This window comes from Homo sapiens, chromosome 19 (genome assembly GCF_000001405.40).
Source record: "Homo sapiens chromosome 19, GRCh38.p14 Primary Assembly".
Lineage (NCBI taxonomy): Eukaryota > Metazoa > Chordata > Mammalia > Primates > Hominidae > Homo > Homo sapiens.
This window is the reverse complement of record NC_000019.10, coordinates 982,138-998,850: the sequence shown is the minus strand read 5'-3', so window position 1 is coordinate 998,850 and position 16,713 is coordinate 982,138. Positions and strand designations below refer to the sequence as shown.

General features: G+C 61.5%; 1 protein-coding gene across 3 annotated transcripts, besides 11 other annotated features; it reads right to left on the bottom strand.

Moving 5' to 3' along the window:
- Nucleotides 1,756–2,375: an enhancer, noted in NCBI's record as "H3K27ac-H3K4me1 hESC enhancer chr19:996475-997094 (GRCh37/hg19 assembly coordinates)". NCBI's record gives its function as "activates a minimal SCP1, AML or CMV promoter by ChIP-STARR-seq in naive H9 embryonic stem cells {active_cell/tissue: H9 hESC(naive)}" and the evidence as "EXISTENCE:reporter gene assay evidence [ECO:0000049][PMID:30033119]".
- Nucleotides 3,855–4,387: an enhancer, noted in NCBI's record as "H3K4me1 hESC enhancer chr19:994463-994995 (GRCh37/hg19 assembly coordinates)". NCBI's record gives its function as "activates a minimal SCP1, AML or CMV promoter by ChIP-STARR-seq in naive H9 embryonic stem cells {active_cell/tissue: H9 hESC(naive)}" and the evidence as "EXISTENCE:reporter gene assay evidence [ECO:0000049][PMID:30033119]".
- Nucleotides 4,294–15,923, bottom strand: WDR18 (WD repeat domain 18). 3 transcript variants are annotated; one of them, NM_001372086.1, is made up of 13 exons: nt 15,801–15,923; nt 15,601–15,689; nt 14,665–14,889; nt 14,288–14,383; nt 12,876–12,986; nt 8,956–9,089; nt 8,487–8,628; nt 7,856–7,999; nt 7,706–7,770; nt 7,500–7,624; nt 6,730–6,896; nt 4,763–4,831; nt 4,294–4,638 (listed from the first exon to the last, which is right to left on the bottom strand). In NM_001372086.1, exons 5-13 carry the CDS (start codon nt 12,963–12,965, stop codon nt 4,507–4,509), a joined length of 1,068 nt encoding a protein of 355 aa, NP_001359015.1. In that variant the 5' UTR covers nt 12,966–12,986; nt 14,288–14,383; nt 14,665–14,889; nt 15,601–15,689; nt 15,801–15,923; the 3' UTR covers nt 4,294–4,506. The 3 variants fall into 3 exon arrangements, with proteins under 3 accessions (NP_001359015.1, NP_001359014.1, NP_077005.2); NM_001372085.1 differs by having other exon boundaries at nt 14,288–14,889; NM_024100.4 differs by lacking the exons at nt 14,665–14,889; nt 15,601–15,689; nt 15,801–15,923 and having other exon boundaries at nt 14,288–14,506.
- Nucleotides 4,388–4,921: an enhancer, noted in NCBI's record as "H3K4me1 hESC enhancer chr19:993929-994462 (GRCh37/hg19 assembly coordinates)". NCBI's record gives its function as "activates a minimal SCP1, AML or CMV promoter by ChIP-STARR-seq in naive H9 embryonic stem cells {active_cell/tissue: H9 hESC(naive)}" and the evidence as "EXISTENCE:reporter gene assay evidence [ECO:0000049][PMID:30033119]".
- Nucleotides 6,883–6,942: a silencer, noted in NCBI's record as "silent region_9647". NCBI's record gives its function as "represses an Ori minimal core promoter by ATAC-STARR-seq in GM12878 lymphoblastoid cells {active_cell/tissue: GM12878}" and the evidence as "EXISTENCE:reporter gene assay evidence [ECO:0000049][PMID:35858748]".
- Nucleotides 7,065–8,010: an enhancer, noted in NCBI's record as "H3K27ac-H3K4me1 hESC enhancer chr19:990841-991786 (GRCh37/hg19 assembly coordinates)". NCBI's record gives its function as "activates a minimal SCP1, AML or CMV promoter by ChIP-STARR-seq in naive H9 embryonic stem cells {active_cell/tissue: H9 hESC(naive)}" and the evidence as "EXISTENCE:reporter gene assay evidence [ECO:0000049][PMID:30033119]".
- Nucleotides 7,203–7,302: a silencer, noted in NCBI's record as "silent region_9646". NCBI's record gives its function as "represses an Ori minimal core promoter by ATAC-STARR-seq in GM12878 lymphoblastoid cells {active_cell/tissue: GM12878}" and the evidence as "EXISTENCE:reporter gene assay evidence [ECO:0000049][PMID:35858748]".
- Nucleotides 13,971–14,912: an enhancer, noted in NCBI's record as "NANOG-H3K27ac-H3K4me1 hESC enhancer chr19:983939-984880 (GRCh37/hg19 assembly coordinates)". NCBI's record gives its function as "activates a minimal SCP1, AML or CMV promoter by ChIP-STARR-seq in primed H9 embryonic stem cells {active_cell/tissue: H9 hESC(primed)}" and the evidence as "EXISTENCE:reporter gene assay evidence [ECO:0000049][PMID:30033119]".
- Nucleotides 14,187–14,366: an enhancer, noted in NCBI's record as "active region_13578". NCBI's record gives its function as "activates an Ori minimal core promoter by ATAC-STARR-seq in GM12878 lymphoblastoid cells {active_cell/tissue: GM12878}" and the evidence as "EXISTENCE:reporter gene assay evidence [ECO:0000049][PMID:35858748]".
- Nucleotides 14,397–14,546: an enhancer, noted in NCBI's record as "active region_13577". NCBI's record gives its function as "activates an Ori minimal core promoter by ATAC-STARR-seq in GM12878 lymphoblastoid cells {active_cell/tissue: GM12878}" and the evidence as "EXISTENCE:reporter gene assay evidence [ECO:0000049][PMID:35858748]".
- Nucleotides 14,597–14,686: a silencer, noted in NCBI's record as "silent region_9645". NCBI's record gives its function as "represses an Ori minimal core promoter by ATAC-STARR-seq in GM12878 lymphoblastoid cells {active_cell/tissue: GM12878}" and the evidence as "EXISTENCE:reporter gene assay evidence [ECO:0000049][PMID:35858748]".
- Nucleotides 15,851–16,240: a silencer, noted in NCBI's record as "silent region_9644". NCBI's record gives its function as "represses an Ori minimal core promoter by ATAC-STARR-seq in GM12878 lymphoblastoid cells {active_cell/tissue: GM12878}" and the evidence as "EXISTENCE:reporter gene assay evidence [ECO:0000049][PMID:35858748]".

Below are 16,713 nucleotides of genomic sequence, written 5' to 3'. Positions count from 1 at the left end.
GAGGTAGGAAAAAAATCCTCCATGAAATGAATAAAATGCCAAGTGCCAGCCAGTAAAATGGATTGGATTTTGAGACGACTGGGGAGGGACGGAGGGAGGGATGGCTCGGTTCCAGGAACCCGCAGGCCACCCCCTCCAGCCCCCTGGCCAGGTGTCCCCGGGGGCAGGACAAGGGGTCCCCTCCCTGGGTCTGCGAGAGGTGCTGGGTCCTGGTGTCCTCAGGGACCACTGGGGCCCCGTCCCTCCCTGGGTTCGGCTCCCTCTGAGGAGCAAGAGTTCCTAGGGGCAGAGACTGTGTCTGCCCTCCGGGAACTCACCCTCGTGCCCTGCCTCAGTTTCCCCATCTGTACACGGGCAACAGTAGGCGTTCCTACTCCCAGCTGCCATGTGGAACAAGTGGCCACGTGGAGGAGACTTTTAAAAAATGTTTTATTGTGGGAAAATAGTCATAACATGAAACCTGCCATCTTGGCCATTTCTAGGTGCACAGCTCAGGCACATTAAGCACACTCCTTGCTATGTAGCCCTTACCACCCTCCTGTCCAGAACTTTCTCATCTTCCCAAACTGAAACTCTGTCCCCAGGGGACACTCACTCCCCGTCCCCTCCCCAGCCCTGACGCCTCCTATCCTCTCCGTCTCTGTGAATCTGACAACTCTAGGGACCTCCTAGGAGTGGAATCAGACAGGACGTGTCCTTTTGTGTCTGGCGTCTCTCACTGAGTGTGATGTCCTCAAGGTGCAACCATGCTCTGGCCTGTGTCTGAGCCTCACTTATTTTATTTTTTTAATTTTGAGACTGCACCTCGCTCTGTTGCCCAGACTGGAGCGCAGTAGTGAGATCATAGCTCACTGCAGCCTCAACCTCCTGGGCTCAAGCGATCCTCCTGCCTTGATTTCCCAAGTAGCGGGGACCACAGGTGCACACCACACCTGGCTAAAATTTATATTTTTTGAAGAGATGGGGTTTTGTAGAGATGTTGCCCAGGCTGGTCTTAAACTCCTGTGCTCAAGCGATTATCCTGCCTCAGCTCCCACAGTGCTGGAATACAGGGTGAGCTACTGCATTGAGCCTTCTCGTTCTTTTACAAGGCTGAATAATATTCCACTGTGCAGAGGACTCGTGTTGTGGTGACCCATCCAACCGCTGATGGACACCTGGTTTCCCCAACTTTTTTTTTTTTTTTTTTTTTTGAGACGGAGTCTTGCTCTGTCACCTGGGCTGGAGTGCAGGGGGGCAATCTCAGCTCACTGCAACCTCCACCGCCCAGGTTCAAGCAATTCTGCCTTAAGCCTCCCAAGTAGCTGGGATTACAGGCACGTGCCACGACACCTGGCTAATTTTTGTATCTTTAGTAGAGATGGGGTTTCACCATGTTGGCCGGGCTGGTCTCCTGACCTCAGGTGGTCTACCGGCCTTGGCCTCCAACAGTGCTGGGATGACAGGCGTGAGCCACGGCGCCTGGCCTTCCCCCACTTTTTGGCTGTGGGGATGGAGCTGTTGTGAGCTTGGTGTGTGGATCATTTCAAAACCCCGCTCCTCATTCCCAAACCCCGCTCCTCATTCCCAAACCCCGCTCCTCATTCCCAAACCCTGCTCCTCATTCCCTTGGGTATATACCCAGAAGTGGACTCGCTGGGTCCAACCTTAACGCTGTTTAATTTTTTAAGAACCTGACAGAATGGCCAGGTGCAGTGGCTCACGCCTGTAATCCCAGCACTTTGGGAGGCTGAGGCGGGTGGATCACCTGAGGTCAGGAGCTCGAGACCAGCCTGGCCAACATGGTGAAACCCCGTCTCTACTAAAAATACAAAAATTAGCCTGATGTGGTGGTGGGCGCCTGTAATCCCAGCTACTTGGGAGGCTGAGGCAGGGGAATGGCATGAACCCGGGAGGCAGAAGTTGCAGTGAACGGAGACCGGGCCACTGCACTCCAGCCTGGGGGAAAGAGTGAGACTCAGTCTCAAAAAAACAAAAACAAAAACAAAAACAAACAAAAAACCTGCCAGACTATTTTCACAGTGGATGCCCCATTTTATGTCCGCACCAGGGCACGGGAAGGCTGTGGCTTCCCCACCTCCTCGCGCATGATGTTTTCTGCTCTCAGCTTTGCTGGCAGCTGTCCCGGCGCCCGCAAGCGCACCTCACTGTGGTCTGCACAGTCAAGCCCCGCCAGCCGCCAGGTCACCTGTGCACACCGGCGTCCCCGCTCGTCAACGCCTTGGCCTCCCCAGTCCCGGCGCCGTCCCTCTGAGAATCTGTGGGGCCTCCGGGGGCGGGGGGTCTGAACGATGACGTCACCACTGTTTCCATCGCACCCAGACCGGCAATTACGACGCAGGGTGGAGCCGCGGTGCCTGAGCACGTCTGGGAGCTCTGGGCCGAGAGGGTGATGACGGTGCGGGAGCGGGCGTGGAGAGGCACCGAGGGGGCTTGTGTCCAAGGACCCAGCGTGCAGGGGCACATGGAGGGAAACGCAGGGAATGAGGCGTGAGCTCCTGCCGCCCCCGCCCAGCTCCCAGCCGACCCGCCGGGGGACGACCCCTTTCTGGAGACAAGAACGTCGAGTCCGACCCGGCCAGGTGTCGCCTGTCTGAGGCCACCGGGCGATTTTCGGGCCCTGCCCCACGGTGAACTCTAACCCTGTTCTGCAGCCTGCGGAGAGGGCAGCCGACCTCAGCCCCGGACGGCCGCGTGGTGCAGGCAGCTGCGAAGTGACCTGGATGTTCGTGCCTGGCTCACCTTGGGCTCTTGCAGCGGCTGGAGCCGAGTCCGGGCCCTGGGAGCCCCAGGCAGCTGTCCCTCTACGGCTCTGCGCACCCTCACCCCGCCCTGGCACCAGCCACAGGGTTGTGCCGATACCCTTGAGTTGGTGGTTGGGGGTCCTGATTGGTGCTGGGAGGGAAATTTGGGAGCCTTTGGGTGGTGATGCGGAGGGGGGCAGGGGTCGTGGGAATGGCTCCAGGGGAACAGTAGGTACAGACCCAGGGAGATCAGCCAACCCCAAGGGACCCCCCAGCTGCCTCACCCCAAATCCGCGTGCTCCCCGCAGGCAGGACCCAGCCTTGCAGGTCAGCAGAGTGAGTGGTTCATGATGGAAAAGGAACAAGCTGGCCGTGCGCCCAGGGGGAAGGGACCCTGGAGTGGTTCTCAGGGCTCGGAGCAGCCGAGGCAGATGTCAGTGCCAGGTGAGGGCCCAGCTGCCCTGATGCAGTGTGGCCAGGCTGCCAGCCGAGAGGACTCAGAGCCCCATAGAGGGGACAAGAACACAAATTAGCCTAAAAGCATGAACTCAGCGCTGGCGGCTGGCTGGACTGCGGTCATTACCACGCCCGCTAAATCACACGGATTTTCTGGATCGTTAGGTAGGACTGTCAGTCGGGAGCAGCTTTCTGGAAGGTTCTGGGCTTCTGGGCTGGGATCCAGGCGCTGGGTGGCAGCGTCCCCAGGGCAGCAGGGCCTGACCTCCCTCAAGCCCTTGATACCCACAAGCACGGCTTGTGGTGTGGCAGGGGTCCAACTCCCTCTGGGGACCGGCTCAGATCGGGACACCACCCCCAGACCTGCTCCTGACCCATCTGACGGTCCCAGCCTGCAGTGGCCACCTTTGCTGGGTGGGGCAAGCCACCTCTGCCTGGGGAGGCCGTGGCACCTTTTGCCCGGAGAACCACCCTGGGTTCACCCTTGGGCGGCTCCAGCTGGGCCCTGGGGAAGCCAGCAGGGGCCCCAAGGCACCCGAGGGATGCACTGGGAGGAGCCTGTGCTCCAAGGCCCCACCCACACCAGCTCCCTCCTCCTGCCTGGTCCTGAGCCCTGCGTTTCCACAGGGACCAGGGACCCCCGAAACCCTCCCTGAGAGCTGGGTCCTGCACCCGGGGAAACCCCTCAACCCTGGCGGCTGGGTCCACCCCCAAACGTCCCCAGGCCCGTCTCTCTACACCAAGCCACCTCCTTCCGGGACCCCACAGGGCTGTCTCCACTCAGACCCCCTGCACAGCAGACCGGAGGGGCCTGGCTTCCCGGTTCCTTCCTCAATCCCACCACCCCGGTCCAGCGCCTTCTCGGGAGGGGGCGGCCATGCAAAGGCCCTCGGGCAACAGAGCAGAGTCAGAACTGCAGGTGCTCGGGGCTCCCTCTTAAAGCCGCCCCCGCGAGGCCTAGGTTGGTTAAGGCCCCCACCTCCGGACAGAGGGTGCCGAGTGGGGCTGGGGTCCCAGCTGGGCCGAGCAGCAGGGGAGCTGTGTTGCACGCAGCACCAGGCCACACCCGGACACAAGGAGGCCGGAGAGGAGGGGCTTTTCATCCTCTTTTGTTAAAAACAGACTAGCACCACTGTGACGCGTGCCACGAGACACCAAGACGGCCCAGTCACAGAGGAAAAACCCGAACACGACACAGAACTGAGGAGAGTCCAGGCCTGGGCTGGTGGGGGCCACACCCGCGGGCCCTGGTTGCTGGGAGGCATGGGGCTCAGGCCTGGGCGCCTCGGGCCGGGGTCTCCGGGCCTCACTTGGCCGGCCGCGTGATGAAGCGCGTGGAGAAGTCGAACAGGTCCCGATTGATCTTGCGCAGGTTGCGCACCTCGTCCTCCAGCTCCGTCACACGGACGCGCAGCTGGTCCTGGCCGCCGAGCACGCTCTGCGGGAGAAGTCGGGGTCAGAGGGCAGAAGTGGCCTGGGGTGTGCTGGAGGGGGGCCACTCACCCCCACTGGCCAGGACTGACCCCAGCCTCAGGCCCCGCCCCTCCCGAGGCCCCGCCCACCTTCTCCATGGTGCTGCACAGGACGGCCTGCAGCTGCTCCGTGCGGTCCAGGTAGCTGGGCTCCGAGCCCTGTAACACAGGGAGCCACGTGACCTCGGGGCGCGTCCTGTCACACACCACACGCTTTGCCCATCCCACCCCCGCCAGCGTGGGCAGCCACTCAGCCAGGGAGGGGCCACCGTGACGCCCACAGACAGAAGGGAAGACTGAGACGGGGGCGTTCACCTCCGTCGAGCCTGCAGATGACAACCCTGACCCTGGCCATGCAGTCATTACCCAGCGCCTCAGATCCTCCACGACTGCGCCCAAGGATGTGGCTGGGGATGGGGGTGCAGATGGCCACACCACAGACAGGGGCCTGGGCCAGACCTGGAAGGACCCGCAAGCCCAGGGAAGGCTCTGGGACACAGGGCCTGGCGAGGGCCTCACAGACAGTGAGCACCTCCAGCCATGGGGAGAGCCTGGCCGGCCCAGCAAGGCCACTGCCCTGTACAGAGGAACCAGTTACATGGAGGGACGTTGCTGGGGGATCAGAGGTCGGGAACCCGCCTCCTGGACGAAGCGCCTTGGGCCCCAGCAGCGCCTGTCTGTGGGACAGGCCAACATTCCAGTGTCAGCTGGATTGGAACAAGGGTCACAGAGGACTAGCAGCCGTCACGGGAGGAAGGGAGCCAGGTGGGGCGGCTAGGGAAAGGTGGCGGCATTACCGGAGGGCATGGCCTGGCCCCCTCCGGAATCCCACTGTGGCCAACTAGGTGGGGTTCTAGGGAGAGCGCTTGGCTGGGCAGGAATCGTGGGAACCGCTGCTGCCCTAGGAGGAGGCAGTGGCCGGGCAGGCGCCCTAGCGTGGAGCTGGCTCTGCCGCTGGAGGCCTGTTTTCACTCCGAAAGTTCCGGCACTTTCTGAACAAAAAGCTCGCCCCTCCTTGCGCCCACGCTGTTAGCAGTCAGTCCAGCCTGTGCTCCTGGCCTCCTTGCAGTCTGAGGGGCCTTGCGGATGCCCAGACGGTGGCGGTCCCCTGCCTGCCCGCCCCAAGCCCACTGGTAGATGTGGGAAAACAGAGTGTCACTCCATGAGGAAGCACGGACAAGGGAGATAACGGCATCTCCTGGTGCAGGGCCTGTCAGGCCATCAGGCTGTCGGGCACCCTCCAGATAAAAAAATCAATCTGTACTCAGGTAAGAAGAGGGCGCGTGGGGAGAAGTGCCAAGCGCCAGAGCCCAGCGAGGGACACAGACAGTGACGTGAGACACCAAGGACGCAGGCAGCTCATCGAAGGTCGGGGAGTGAGGCGGAAACACACTGGGAAGCCTCCCCAGGCCCAAGGAACCCCCAGCCCCCACCCCAGCCCAGCCCAGCCAACCACACTGGCTTCTATGAGGGTCTTGGGGCTGGGGTGGGAAGTGTTCCGGAAGTCACTCTACCCTCAGAAGGTAAGGGAGCCCACCCTAGTACCTGCACAGAGCGGGGGTCGGTGCTGAGCTGCAGGGAGTGAGGGCGTGACTGTGGCCAGGCCGAGAGGCTGCCCCCAGCCCACGTGGGAGCCACCTGCAGCCACCAGGGCCCCACCCGCTCCCTGCCCTCACGGCTGCTCCTGCACCTTCGGCAGCCCAGACGTGAACCTTTTGGCTCTCACAGCCCGAAGTATGGGGCATCGGCCTTTTGCAGAAAGACCTAACTGACTGTCAGATATCCAGCCGCAGGAAGGCTGGTGTGTGGGGCGTGCAGCTCGGCCCTGCTGGCCGGGGGAAGAGGGGTGGTTAACTTCTCAGAGCCTCTGGGTCCATACTGAGAGTGGGCAGAGGCCCCACCGAGCATCACCATCCCACTCACAGGACGCGCCCTCCAGTGCCGGGCTTGTGGGGAACCGCCGCACGGGCGCCAGGACCAAGGGAGCGAAGGAGCCCAGGGCCCGCGGGGTCTTCCGGGACAAAAGGGCAGTGGGGGTTCCCTGCTGGGGGCCGTACCTGCTGGTGGAGGCCCAGGCGCAGAGTGAGGCCCCCGTGGCGCGGCTCGTCCCCGTGCTCGGCGCCCAGCAGGTGCTTGTTGAAGTGGGGCAGCGGCAGGCTGGGCCTGAAGTCTGAGCTCAGCATGCTGACGGGCGCCAGCAGGATGGCGGCATTGGTGACTGGGCCTGGGGGGCGCGGAGGTCAGGCCCCGCCCCATCCCAGCCAGGCCCCACCCCACAGCAAGCCAAGTTCCGCCCCATCCAGGGCAGTCCCCGCCCCCAGCCAGTCCCCGCCCCACAGCCAGTCCACGCCCCCAGCCAGGCCCCGCCCCACGACCAGTCCACGCCCCCAGCCAGGCCCCACCCCACAGCAAAGCCAGTTCACGCCCCCAGCCAGGCCCCGCCCCGTCCCAGCCAGGCCCCGCCCCGTCCCAGCCAGGCCCCGCCCCACAGTCAGTCCACGCCCCCAGCCAGGCCCCGCCCCACAGCCAGTCCACGCCCCCAGCCAGTCCACGCCCCCAGCCAGGCCCCACCCCACAGCAAACCCAGTTCACGCTCCCAGCCAGGCCCCGCCCCGTCCCAGCCAGGCCCCGCCCCACAGCAAAGCCAGCCCACGCCCCACAGCCAGTCCACTCCCCCAGCCAGGCCCCGCCCCACAGCCAGTCCACGCCCCCAGCCCGGCCCCGCCCCACAGCAAACCAGTCCCCGCCCCCACCCAAGCCAAGCCCGGAGCTCCTGCTGGCTTTTTCCCCTGCGCGCTGGCCGCGGGCCGAGCAGAGGCGCGCCCACCTTTGAGGGCCACCGTCCGGATGCACTGCTTGCTCTGCACGTCCCAGAGGCGCACGGTCTCGTCGTGGGAGCCTGAGAGCAGCACGCTGCCGTCAGTGGACACTGACAGGCAAGTCACCTGGTTCCTGGACAGACAGACAGGGGTCACCTGGGACGTGCCAGACAGGACGTGCCTGGGAGCCCCCGCCCCGTTCCCACGTCCCCACCTGTGCCCTTTGAAGACCTTCCCGGCGTCCTGCTCTGGGTGGAAGCTCCTCTCCCTCTGTCCGGGCTGCGAAGGCCGAGACGTGTGTGAGCCGCAGGCCCGATGCCCTCAGCCCCAGGGCAGGGTGCAGCCCGCAGACCGCGGCACTCACCCAGGTGAAGAGGTCGACCTGGAAGATGGAGCCCTCACTGCCCCCGCAGAACATATGGTGCTCAGCCAGGTCCATGGTCACTGCCATGATGGACACGTCAAAGAGGACGGAGAGCAGCAGCTCCCCCGAGGAGACCTCCCATAGCTGCGGGTGGGCAAAGGGCGTGGGGCTCGGCCCGGCAGGGGGAACCCGAGGACCCCATGGGAACAGGGGCACCAGGGAGGTCAGGCGTCGGCTGTCCTCTGGCCCTAGGGCTTGCGACTTTGGGTGAAAGCCGTCACCATGTGGGTCTTGGGGGCCAGGGGACATGGCCTGTGCTGAAATGGAGCTTGGTCTCCGGCTGATGACCCCTGGTTCTCCCTCCCAGGACCACCGGTCACGACTCAAGCATAGTGATGACCTCCGATTCCCCAGGCTTGGCCAGGGAGCCGGGCCAGAAACGGTGAATGAGTAGGAATTTCCAGGCTGGCAGACCTCCCTGGACGTCCTTGGGCTCAGAGCACCAGGGGATTAAAAGCCGTCTGGAGTCCTGACAGCAGGGAGCGGGAGGAGGCGATTCCTGCATTCCTGGCTGAGGACCTGCGGCTGCTGGGCTCCGCTCATGGACCGTGGTGGGGTGGGGGCGGCGTACCTTCACCGTCTGGTCCAGTGAGGAGGTGGCCACCCGGGCCAGGGGGCCCCCAAAGCCGCAGTGCAGGTCCGTGATGGGGAGCGCGTGGTGAGACCAGACGTGCCTGGGCGCCGGAATCCTGGAGGGGTCGGCCTGCAGCACGCTGAGCGGGGTGGGGCAGGTGCTCAGCAGGCGGGGAGCGGAGGGAACAGGGCAGTCCACGCCTCCAGCACCCACCTCACGCACACACCTGCCTCCACTCAGCAGCCTGGCCTGCCTCACCTGAGTAAACTCAAGGCTGGGCCCCCACGGCCCCCAGAACAAACCAGACCCCAGTGTGGGCAGCCAGGACCCCTGGGATGATCACTCCGTCCTCTGCACTCCAGCCCCCAAGAGAGAAGCCCCTTCCCGCCAGGGGCCTTGGCGCCTCCTCTCCCCGCCTGAGCCCGGGTGCAGTTCCAGGTGCAGGCCTGAGTGCGCAAGGCGCTACCTGCAGAGGCTCCAAACCAGCACCAGGCAGTCCTTGCCCCCTGAGATGAAGTGGCTGCTGTCCCCTGTGAACTGAAGGCAGGAGACGTCCTGGTAGTGTCGACTCAGGATGACCAGAAGGTTCCCGGTGGAGACCTGTGAGGGGCAGAGGGTATCCAGGTCAGGGGAGGAAAGCCCCAGGGGAGGAAAGGGGGGCTGCAGCCCCAGGAACCCACCACTGCACGGCCATGGCCACACTGTCGCCCCCTGCCTGCCCTGCCCCAGGACTGCGGGGTGACCCTGTCAGGGCAGCGGCCAGCAGGTACAGCGGGGCCTCGTCGCGCCCCTGCCTGGGCTGGGTGGGCACCTGTTCCCGCCTCGTCCCCACCTGCATGATGGCCCAGGAAGGGGCAAGTTTCCTGCCCTTCCCTGCTGCCTCAGGGAGGTGCTGGTCCCCTGTGAGCCTGACCCCAGGCGTCCTGTGTGGGCCCCGTAGGAACGGCTGCACTCAGGACCTGCAGGCGGCTCCCACCATTCAACAGGAAGTCGCTTCTGGGCAGGCTGTGGTGGCCTGACCCAGGGTGGTGGCAGCTTAAGCTCCGGCAGGAAGCCAGGCAGCTCCATCTGAGGAAGAGGACAGGGAGCCCCTTCCAGGACACCTGGGGAGGGCTGAGATGCTCTGGTGGGGGTTGTGGGTTCGAGGGCTGAGATGCTCTGGGGGGGGTTGTGGGTTCGAGGACTGAGATGCTCTGGAGGGGGTTGTGGGTTCGAGGACTGAGATGCTCTTGGGGGGGTTTGTGGGTTCGAGGGCTGAGATGCTCTGGGGGGTTGTGGGTTCGAGGGCTGAGAAGCTCTGGTGGGGGTTGTGGGTTCGAGGCCTGAGATGCTCTGTGGGGGGTTGTGGATTCGAGAGCTGAGATGCTCTGGTGGGGGTTGTGGATTGAATCGTGTTTCCCCCCAAAAGCATGTTAAAAGTCCCGACCTGGGACCTGTGAATGGCCTCATTTAGACGCAGTGTCTCTGCACATATCATAAGTTAAGATGAGGTGGTTCTGGAGCGGGGGCATCCATCCATGTGTCCCGGTTGTTGTAAGCTGAGAGAAGTGCAAACACACAGGGGCTCCACGCGGCAGTGGTGGCAGCAGAGGCAGGGGACAGTCACCCACAAGCCAAGGGTGCCAAGGGGTGCCGGCCACCACCGGAGAGGTGGGAAGGCTCCTCCCAGGGCCTCCAGGGGCAGCGTGGCCCCACAGACATCTTGATTTAGGACGTCTGGCCTCAAGGATGGGGGCCGAGTTTCTGTTGTCGAAAGTCCCTGTGCGTCGTGCTTTGTTGGGGCAGGCAGAGCCTGCTGGGCCCAGATCTGACAGCCATGCCCTCTCTGGGCCTCGCTTTCCTCGCATGCAAAACCCAGGGTGGCTGGGGAGGGTTAAATGGCACCAGAGGAAGCAGGATCCAGGTCAGCCCCAAACCACAGAGGGCAGCTCTGGTGACCACCACTGCCCAGGGCCGGGACAGACCGGGCAGCTTCAGAACATCAGTGCCTCCCGGGAGGTCCCTGTCCCTGTGGCGTGGGAGGGGCGGACCAGCTCCCGCCCCACAGCCCTGGCTCTCAGGTTTCCAGCCCACTCCTGACTCACCGCTCACACACCCGTCGCCTACACAGAGAACAGGAGGAGGATTTCGACCGTGGCAGGGGGGTACAGTGGAGGCAGTCCCGGCCTGAGCTCTGGCTATGTGGGACACCCCTTCATGGTCACAGCTCACGGGTCAGAAACTCTCCAGGAGGGCCAGCTGCAGTGGCTCACGCCTGTCATCCCAGCACTTTGGGAGGCTGAGAAGGGCGGATCACCTGAGACCAGGAGTTCGAAACCAGCCTGGCCAACCTGGCAAAACTCCGTCTCTAATAAAAATACAAAAATTAGCCAGGCATGGTGGCGGGCGCCTCCCAGCTACTTGGGAGGCTGAGGCAGGAGAATCGCTTGAACCTGGGAGCCTGAGGTTGCAGTGATCTGAGATTGAGCCACTGCACTCCAGCCCGGGCAACAGAGCGAGACTTCATCTGAAAAAAAAAAAAAAAAAAAAAAACTGGAGGCGGCTAGGGGAGCAGGGGTCTGGCAGTGGGTGCCACCCAGCACACTGTCCCGAGCCAAGAACAGGAAGGGGTCCCGCCTAAGACATCCCCCATGGGGCGATGACACATTTAATTCCTACCCACATGCCCCTCTGCACCAGACTGACAGCAACCAGGGCTAGGAGGTCTACTGTTAGGGGTGACTCGTGAGCTACTGCTTCCCTGCCTCAGTTTCCCTCTCAGCAACTGCATCCTAGTTTCAAAATCATGGAGTGAGATGTAAAAGCCTTGGGATCCCAGGCATGGTGGCACATGCCTATAATCCCAGCTACCTGGGAGGATCGCTTGAGCCCAGGAGTTCAAGAGCAGCTACGGCAATGTAGTGAGACCCCATCTCAAAAATAAGTTTAAAAATTAAATACATACACACGTGTCCTGAGGGTGAGATAATGATGCCTCCTGTCATTCCTGTGCTGCCTGTCCCGACCCCCCTTTTCTTTGGAGACAAGGTCTTGCTCTGTCACCCAGGCTGGAGTGCAGTGGTACAATCTCATCTCACTGCAACTTCCGCCTCTCGGATTCAAGTGATTCTCATGCCTCAGCCTCCCAAAAAGCTGGGACTATAGGTGTATGCCACCATGCCCAGCTAATTTTTCTATTTTTTGCAGACATGGGTTTTCACCATGTTACCCAGGCTAGTCTTGAACTCCTGGCCTCAAGTGATCTGCCCGTCTCAGCCTCCCAAAGTGCTGGGATTCCAGGCATGAGCCGCCATGCCCATCCCCTGGTGGCTTTTTTATCTCTCCGAGAATGCTCATGCCCACCCAGCCCTCTCAGTTCTCTGAGCAGCCCACTGAGGGAAGCAAGGACAAGGTCAGGAAGGGCAGAAACATGGTTACCTTTGGGTCTTCTGGCCCCAGATCTTGTACTGTCTGCCCTGCTCTATGTGGGGTTGAGGGCAGGTCTCCCCCGAAATATAATGGACCATTTGTGACAACACAGCCGGTGATCTAACGCCACAGCTACGGTATGGGCCAAACTCCAAGAGGCCTGACTTTGTGAATGAAGTCTCCCTGGCACATCTCTGTGCCCACTCACTCACACATCATCCAGGGCTGCTTCCCCTCACCAGGGCAGAGCTGAGAAGCTGGCCTAAATGCAAAGCCTGAACAGTTCACTCTGTCTCGCAGTGAGAGCATGGCAGGATCCGGGCTGTGAGTGTGTCTAGGAGTTGCTGTCACCTGGTTGGTCCAGCGGTAAGAAAAAGGAGGCACTGGCCGGGCGCGGTGGCTCACGCCTGTAATCCCACTACTCTGGGGGGCCGAGGCGGGTGGATCACCTGAGGTCAGGAGTTGGAGACCAGCCTGACCAACATTGTGAAGCCCTTCTCTACTAAATACAAACAAATTAGCCAGGTGTGGTGGTGGGCGCCTGGAATCCCAGCTACTCAGGAGACTGAGACAGGAGGATTGCTTGAACCTGGGAGGCAGAGGTTGCATTGACTACCGGCATGAGCCACTGCGCCCGGCCGCCCTTTATAACTTTCAAGTCACAAGTGCCAGGCGCTGCCGCCTGCGTGGAAGAGATGCCCGCTAGCCCTGGAAGATGCTGCGGTGTGTGAGTGCCGGGGACTGGGCTGCACCGGGCTCTATCCAAGCACTCAAGGCAGGATTAGGGCTGGTCTGGGATTCGCAAGTCTCGAGGGGACCTGGAGAAAGGAGGCAGCAGGGTGAAGCTTAGGCTATAACCCCTGAGCAGTCACCCATCCCAGGGCCCCAGGCCGCATGGTTGTTCCCTGGTGCCCTGCAGGCAAAGCTCAGATGGGCTGAGATGTCCTGTGGGAAACGCTCACGCTTTGCTCCTCTTACCTCCCACAGGTGGATGCTTTCTGCAACTCCTGCCAGGACGTAGAGACCATTGGGTGATGCAGTCAGACAGGTGACAGGCCCGGGGCACATGATCTTCTGCTGGAGCTGGTCCTAAGGATGCACAGTCAGCCTCGTGAGCCCCATGCAGGACACGGGAGCTACTACAGCAGTGGAGGGCGAGGGGAGGGGACGCCTGGGCAATGGCTAAGTCAGAGAACCAGGAAGAGGAGTCGGGAGCAGGGTGGTTTGAGCAAATGCATGGTCCAGCAAGGAAGTGTTCGCCCCTGCAAGAGGCTTCGAGGCTGGAGGTGGTAGATGTGAGGTTGGTGCTTCCTCTGAGGGTCAGAGGGGCCCTGGGTGGGAGGAGTACAGGAACAGAACAAAGAGGATCCAGAAGGACACTGGGGCCCAAGAGCCCAGTAGGCTTGTGCCCCAATCCTTCTATCCATAATGTCCAACCTAAGACCCCAAGCCTCAGCTTCCTCCTCTCTAAAATGGGAAAACTCAGCCGGGCGTGGTGGCTCACGGCTGTAATCCCAGCACTTTGGGAGGCTGAGGTGGGCAGATCACTTGAGGTCAGGAGTTCGAGACCAGCCTGGCCAACATGGTGAAACCCTGCCTCTACAAAAAATACAAATGTGGGCCGGGTGTGGTGGTTGGTGCGGGCCTGTAGTTGCAGCTACTCAGGAGGCTGAGGCCCGAGAATCGCTTGAACCCTAGAGGCAGAGGCTGCAGTGAGCCGAGATCGCACCACTGCACTCCAGCCTCAGCGACAGAGTGAGACCCTGTCTCAAAACTAAAATAAAATGGGAGAAATTTATGAGTTGTGTGTAGACTCCATCAGGCAATGCTGGAGCACAGAGCCAGTCCCAAGAGATCTCAGCGGGCACACGGGGGAAGCGAGTAGCTTCAGGGACTGGCTGCATTTGGGCTTGGGAGTAGAGGGGAAACTGTGGGCGACGGTGAGTATCTGTTGCTTTATTGGAGGAATAAACATGAGTTTCCTGCGCCACCCCTTCATGGGAGACTCCCCCAGACCTTGGTCCTTCTCCCTTTTCCTCCAGAACCACAACATCCACAGAGCTCATAGGCCCCTTTTAATCAAATTTCGCGCTCCAAGAACTCGTGCATGCGCAATTGCCCCAAGGGACCCCCCGGAGCGTCTCCCATTTTCCCCCACTGCCCCCATAGCAGCTCAGGCCTGAGCCCCGCGCGTGCGCAGAGCGGCCTAACAGGTCGCACGTATCTCCCCAAAGCCCCCAGACCCGCGCATGCGCAGAGCGCCCGAACGGAGACCACCTCCCCTCCCCACGCCAATTCCGACTAAGGGTGCACGCGGCCCCCACCAACCCATCCCCCGACTTCAGCCTCGGGCGCCCCATGACCCCAGCAGCGAGACCGCACCGCCGCACCTTCCGCTGGAGCTCCCAGGCGCTGATGTAATTCTTGCCCAGCTGCGCCGCCAGCAGATACTCGCCATTGAGCAGCGCCAGGCCGCGGGGTCCCGCCTGGCCGCCGCGGTAGGTGAGCAGGTTGGCGCCCGAGTGAAGTTCCCACACGATGCAGCTCCACATCGGGGCCGCCGAGTCCGTACACACGGCCACCTCCATGGGCGCCGCCATCTTGCCTTCCCCACCGCCCCGGACGTGCGTCATCATGAGCGAGACGCGGACGACTGCCCCACGCGGGCCAGAGCGGCGGCCCCGCGGCCCCAGCGGGTGGCCGACCCGCGCATGCGCCCGTGCCTCGGAGAGAGGGGCTTTCTTGTGAAGTGGGATTTCCCGCTTACCTGAGACTCGAGGGTCGCGCGGCCTGCTTAGAGATCTGGGGAGGCGACTTCTTCCAAGGCCCAGGGTCTCCGGCGATCAGTTAGTAGCTCTAGAGCCGGGGTACCTGACTTGGCCTTTTCCTCCTGGGCATTTTTGGCCAAGTGACTCAAGCTCTTGGATTCATTTATTTTTAAATGTTCAAATAATAAAGTTCCGACGTCACAGGCCTAAATGACACATTGCGCCTAAAAGAGAGAGCGCACACCCAGCAACATGGCTAGTTGGCGATGAATACATTGGAATTCACTGCTTCCTTATTTATTTAGTTTTGTAGAGCCAGGGTCTCACTGTCCTGCCCAGGCTGGCCTCGAACTCCTGAGCTCAAGTGATCCTCCCAGCTCGGCCTGCCAAAGTGCTGGGATTACAGGCGTGAGCCACCGCGCCCGGCCCAGTGTTTCCTTATTGGTCGACATCTGCCTCCCCCTTGACCCCTCTTTAGGGGCCTCAACATCTAAATTATTAGTCGGATAGCTTGGTGTAGGTCAAACAAGTCGCCAGTTCTGTCCGAGCCAAGCAGGGTCTAACTTCATGTCACGGCTGCCCGTCACGGACCATGTCTGAAAACGGCATTCAAAAAAAAAAAAAGGCCGGGCGCTTTGGCTCAGGCCTGTAATCCCAGCACTTTGGGAGGCCGAGGTGGGTGGATTACCTGAGATCAGGAGTTCGAGACTACCCTGGCCAACATGGCGAAACCCCGTCTTTACAAAAAGTACAAAAAGCCGGGCGTGGTGGGAGGCTGAGGCAGGAGAATCGCTTGAACCCGGGAGGCGGAGGTCTCAGTGAGCCGAGATCCCAGGCACTCCAGCCTGGGCGAATGAGACTCTGTCTCAAAGAAAAACATATATCTATTATTTATTTATACTAAATATATATCTAGTAGAGATGGGGGGTCTCACTGTGTTGCTCAGGCTGGTCTCCAACACCTGGGCTTAGGCCTTGGCCTCTTAAACCGCTGGGATTACAGGCTTCAGCCACAACGTCCGGCCTAAAAACAGTATGATTTAAAATGTGCAATTAGTTGCCAACCCCTTAAAAAGGGATAAAAAGGGAGCATTCATTTAAAAGTCGGGATTTCCGCCCGGGGGTTGCAGCTGACCTGGGTCGTGTGCCCTCGAGCAGCAAGAGGCAGGGGCTGGAGGCTGCATGCGGGGTGCGGTCCCCGGAGGCGGTGCGACTCCTGGTCCGCGGCTCCCGGCGGAGGGCACGGCCGGGGCAGGAGGCTGGTGCCAGAGCGTGCGGCGCCGCAGCCCCGCTGGCCGCCAGGTGGCAGGCGCGAGCCACCGACCCCGAGCCCAGGCCAGAGGGAGGGCGGCCCCGGGGACCCGCCTGGTCGGCAGGAGGGGCCGTTTGAGCGGGGAGCCAGCGACCCCCAGAGAACCGTGTGCGGGGCAGGCCCGTGCGAAGGCCCTGGGGCAGGACCACGGAGCGGGGCCGGGCCGTGCAGGGCCGTGTGAACGAGGCCTGGATTTCATTTTATCCTGGGAGGGAGGGAGGGAGTCCAATCCAAGGACCTGCTGTGCCTCCAGAGTTTCCTCCAACCTCATTTTTATTTTCTTTCTTTATTTTGCGACAGTCTTGCTCTGTGGCCCAGGTTGGAGTGCAATGGTGCGATCTCGGCTCACTGCTACCTCTGCCTCCCGGGTTCAAGCGATTCTCCTGTCTCAGCCTCCCGAGTAGCTGGGATTACAGGTGTGAGCCGCCACGCCCAGCTAAGTTTTGTATTTTTAGTAGAGACGGAGTTTCACCACGTTGGCCAGGCTGGTCTCGAACTCCTGACCTCAGGTGATCTGCCCGTCTCGGCCTCTCAAAGTGCTGGGATTACAGGCGTCAGCTACTGAGGCCGGCCTCCAACATTATTTAAAAAACATTATTTAAAAAAATCGGCGGGGCGTGGTGGCTCCGGCCTGTAATCCCAGCACTTTGGGAGACCGAGGTGGGTGGATCACGAGATCAAGATCATCCTGGATAACAAGGTGAAACCCGTCTCTACTAAAAATACAAAAATTAGC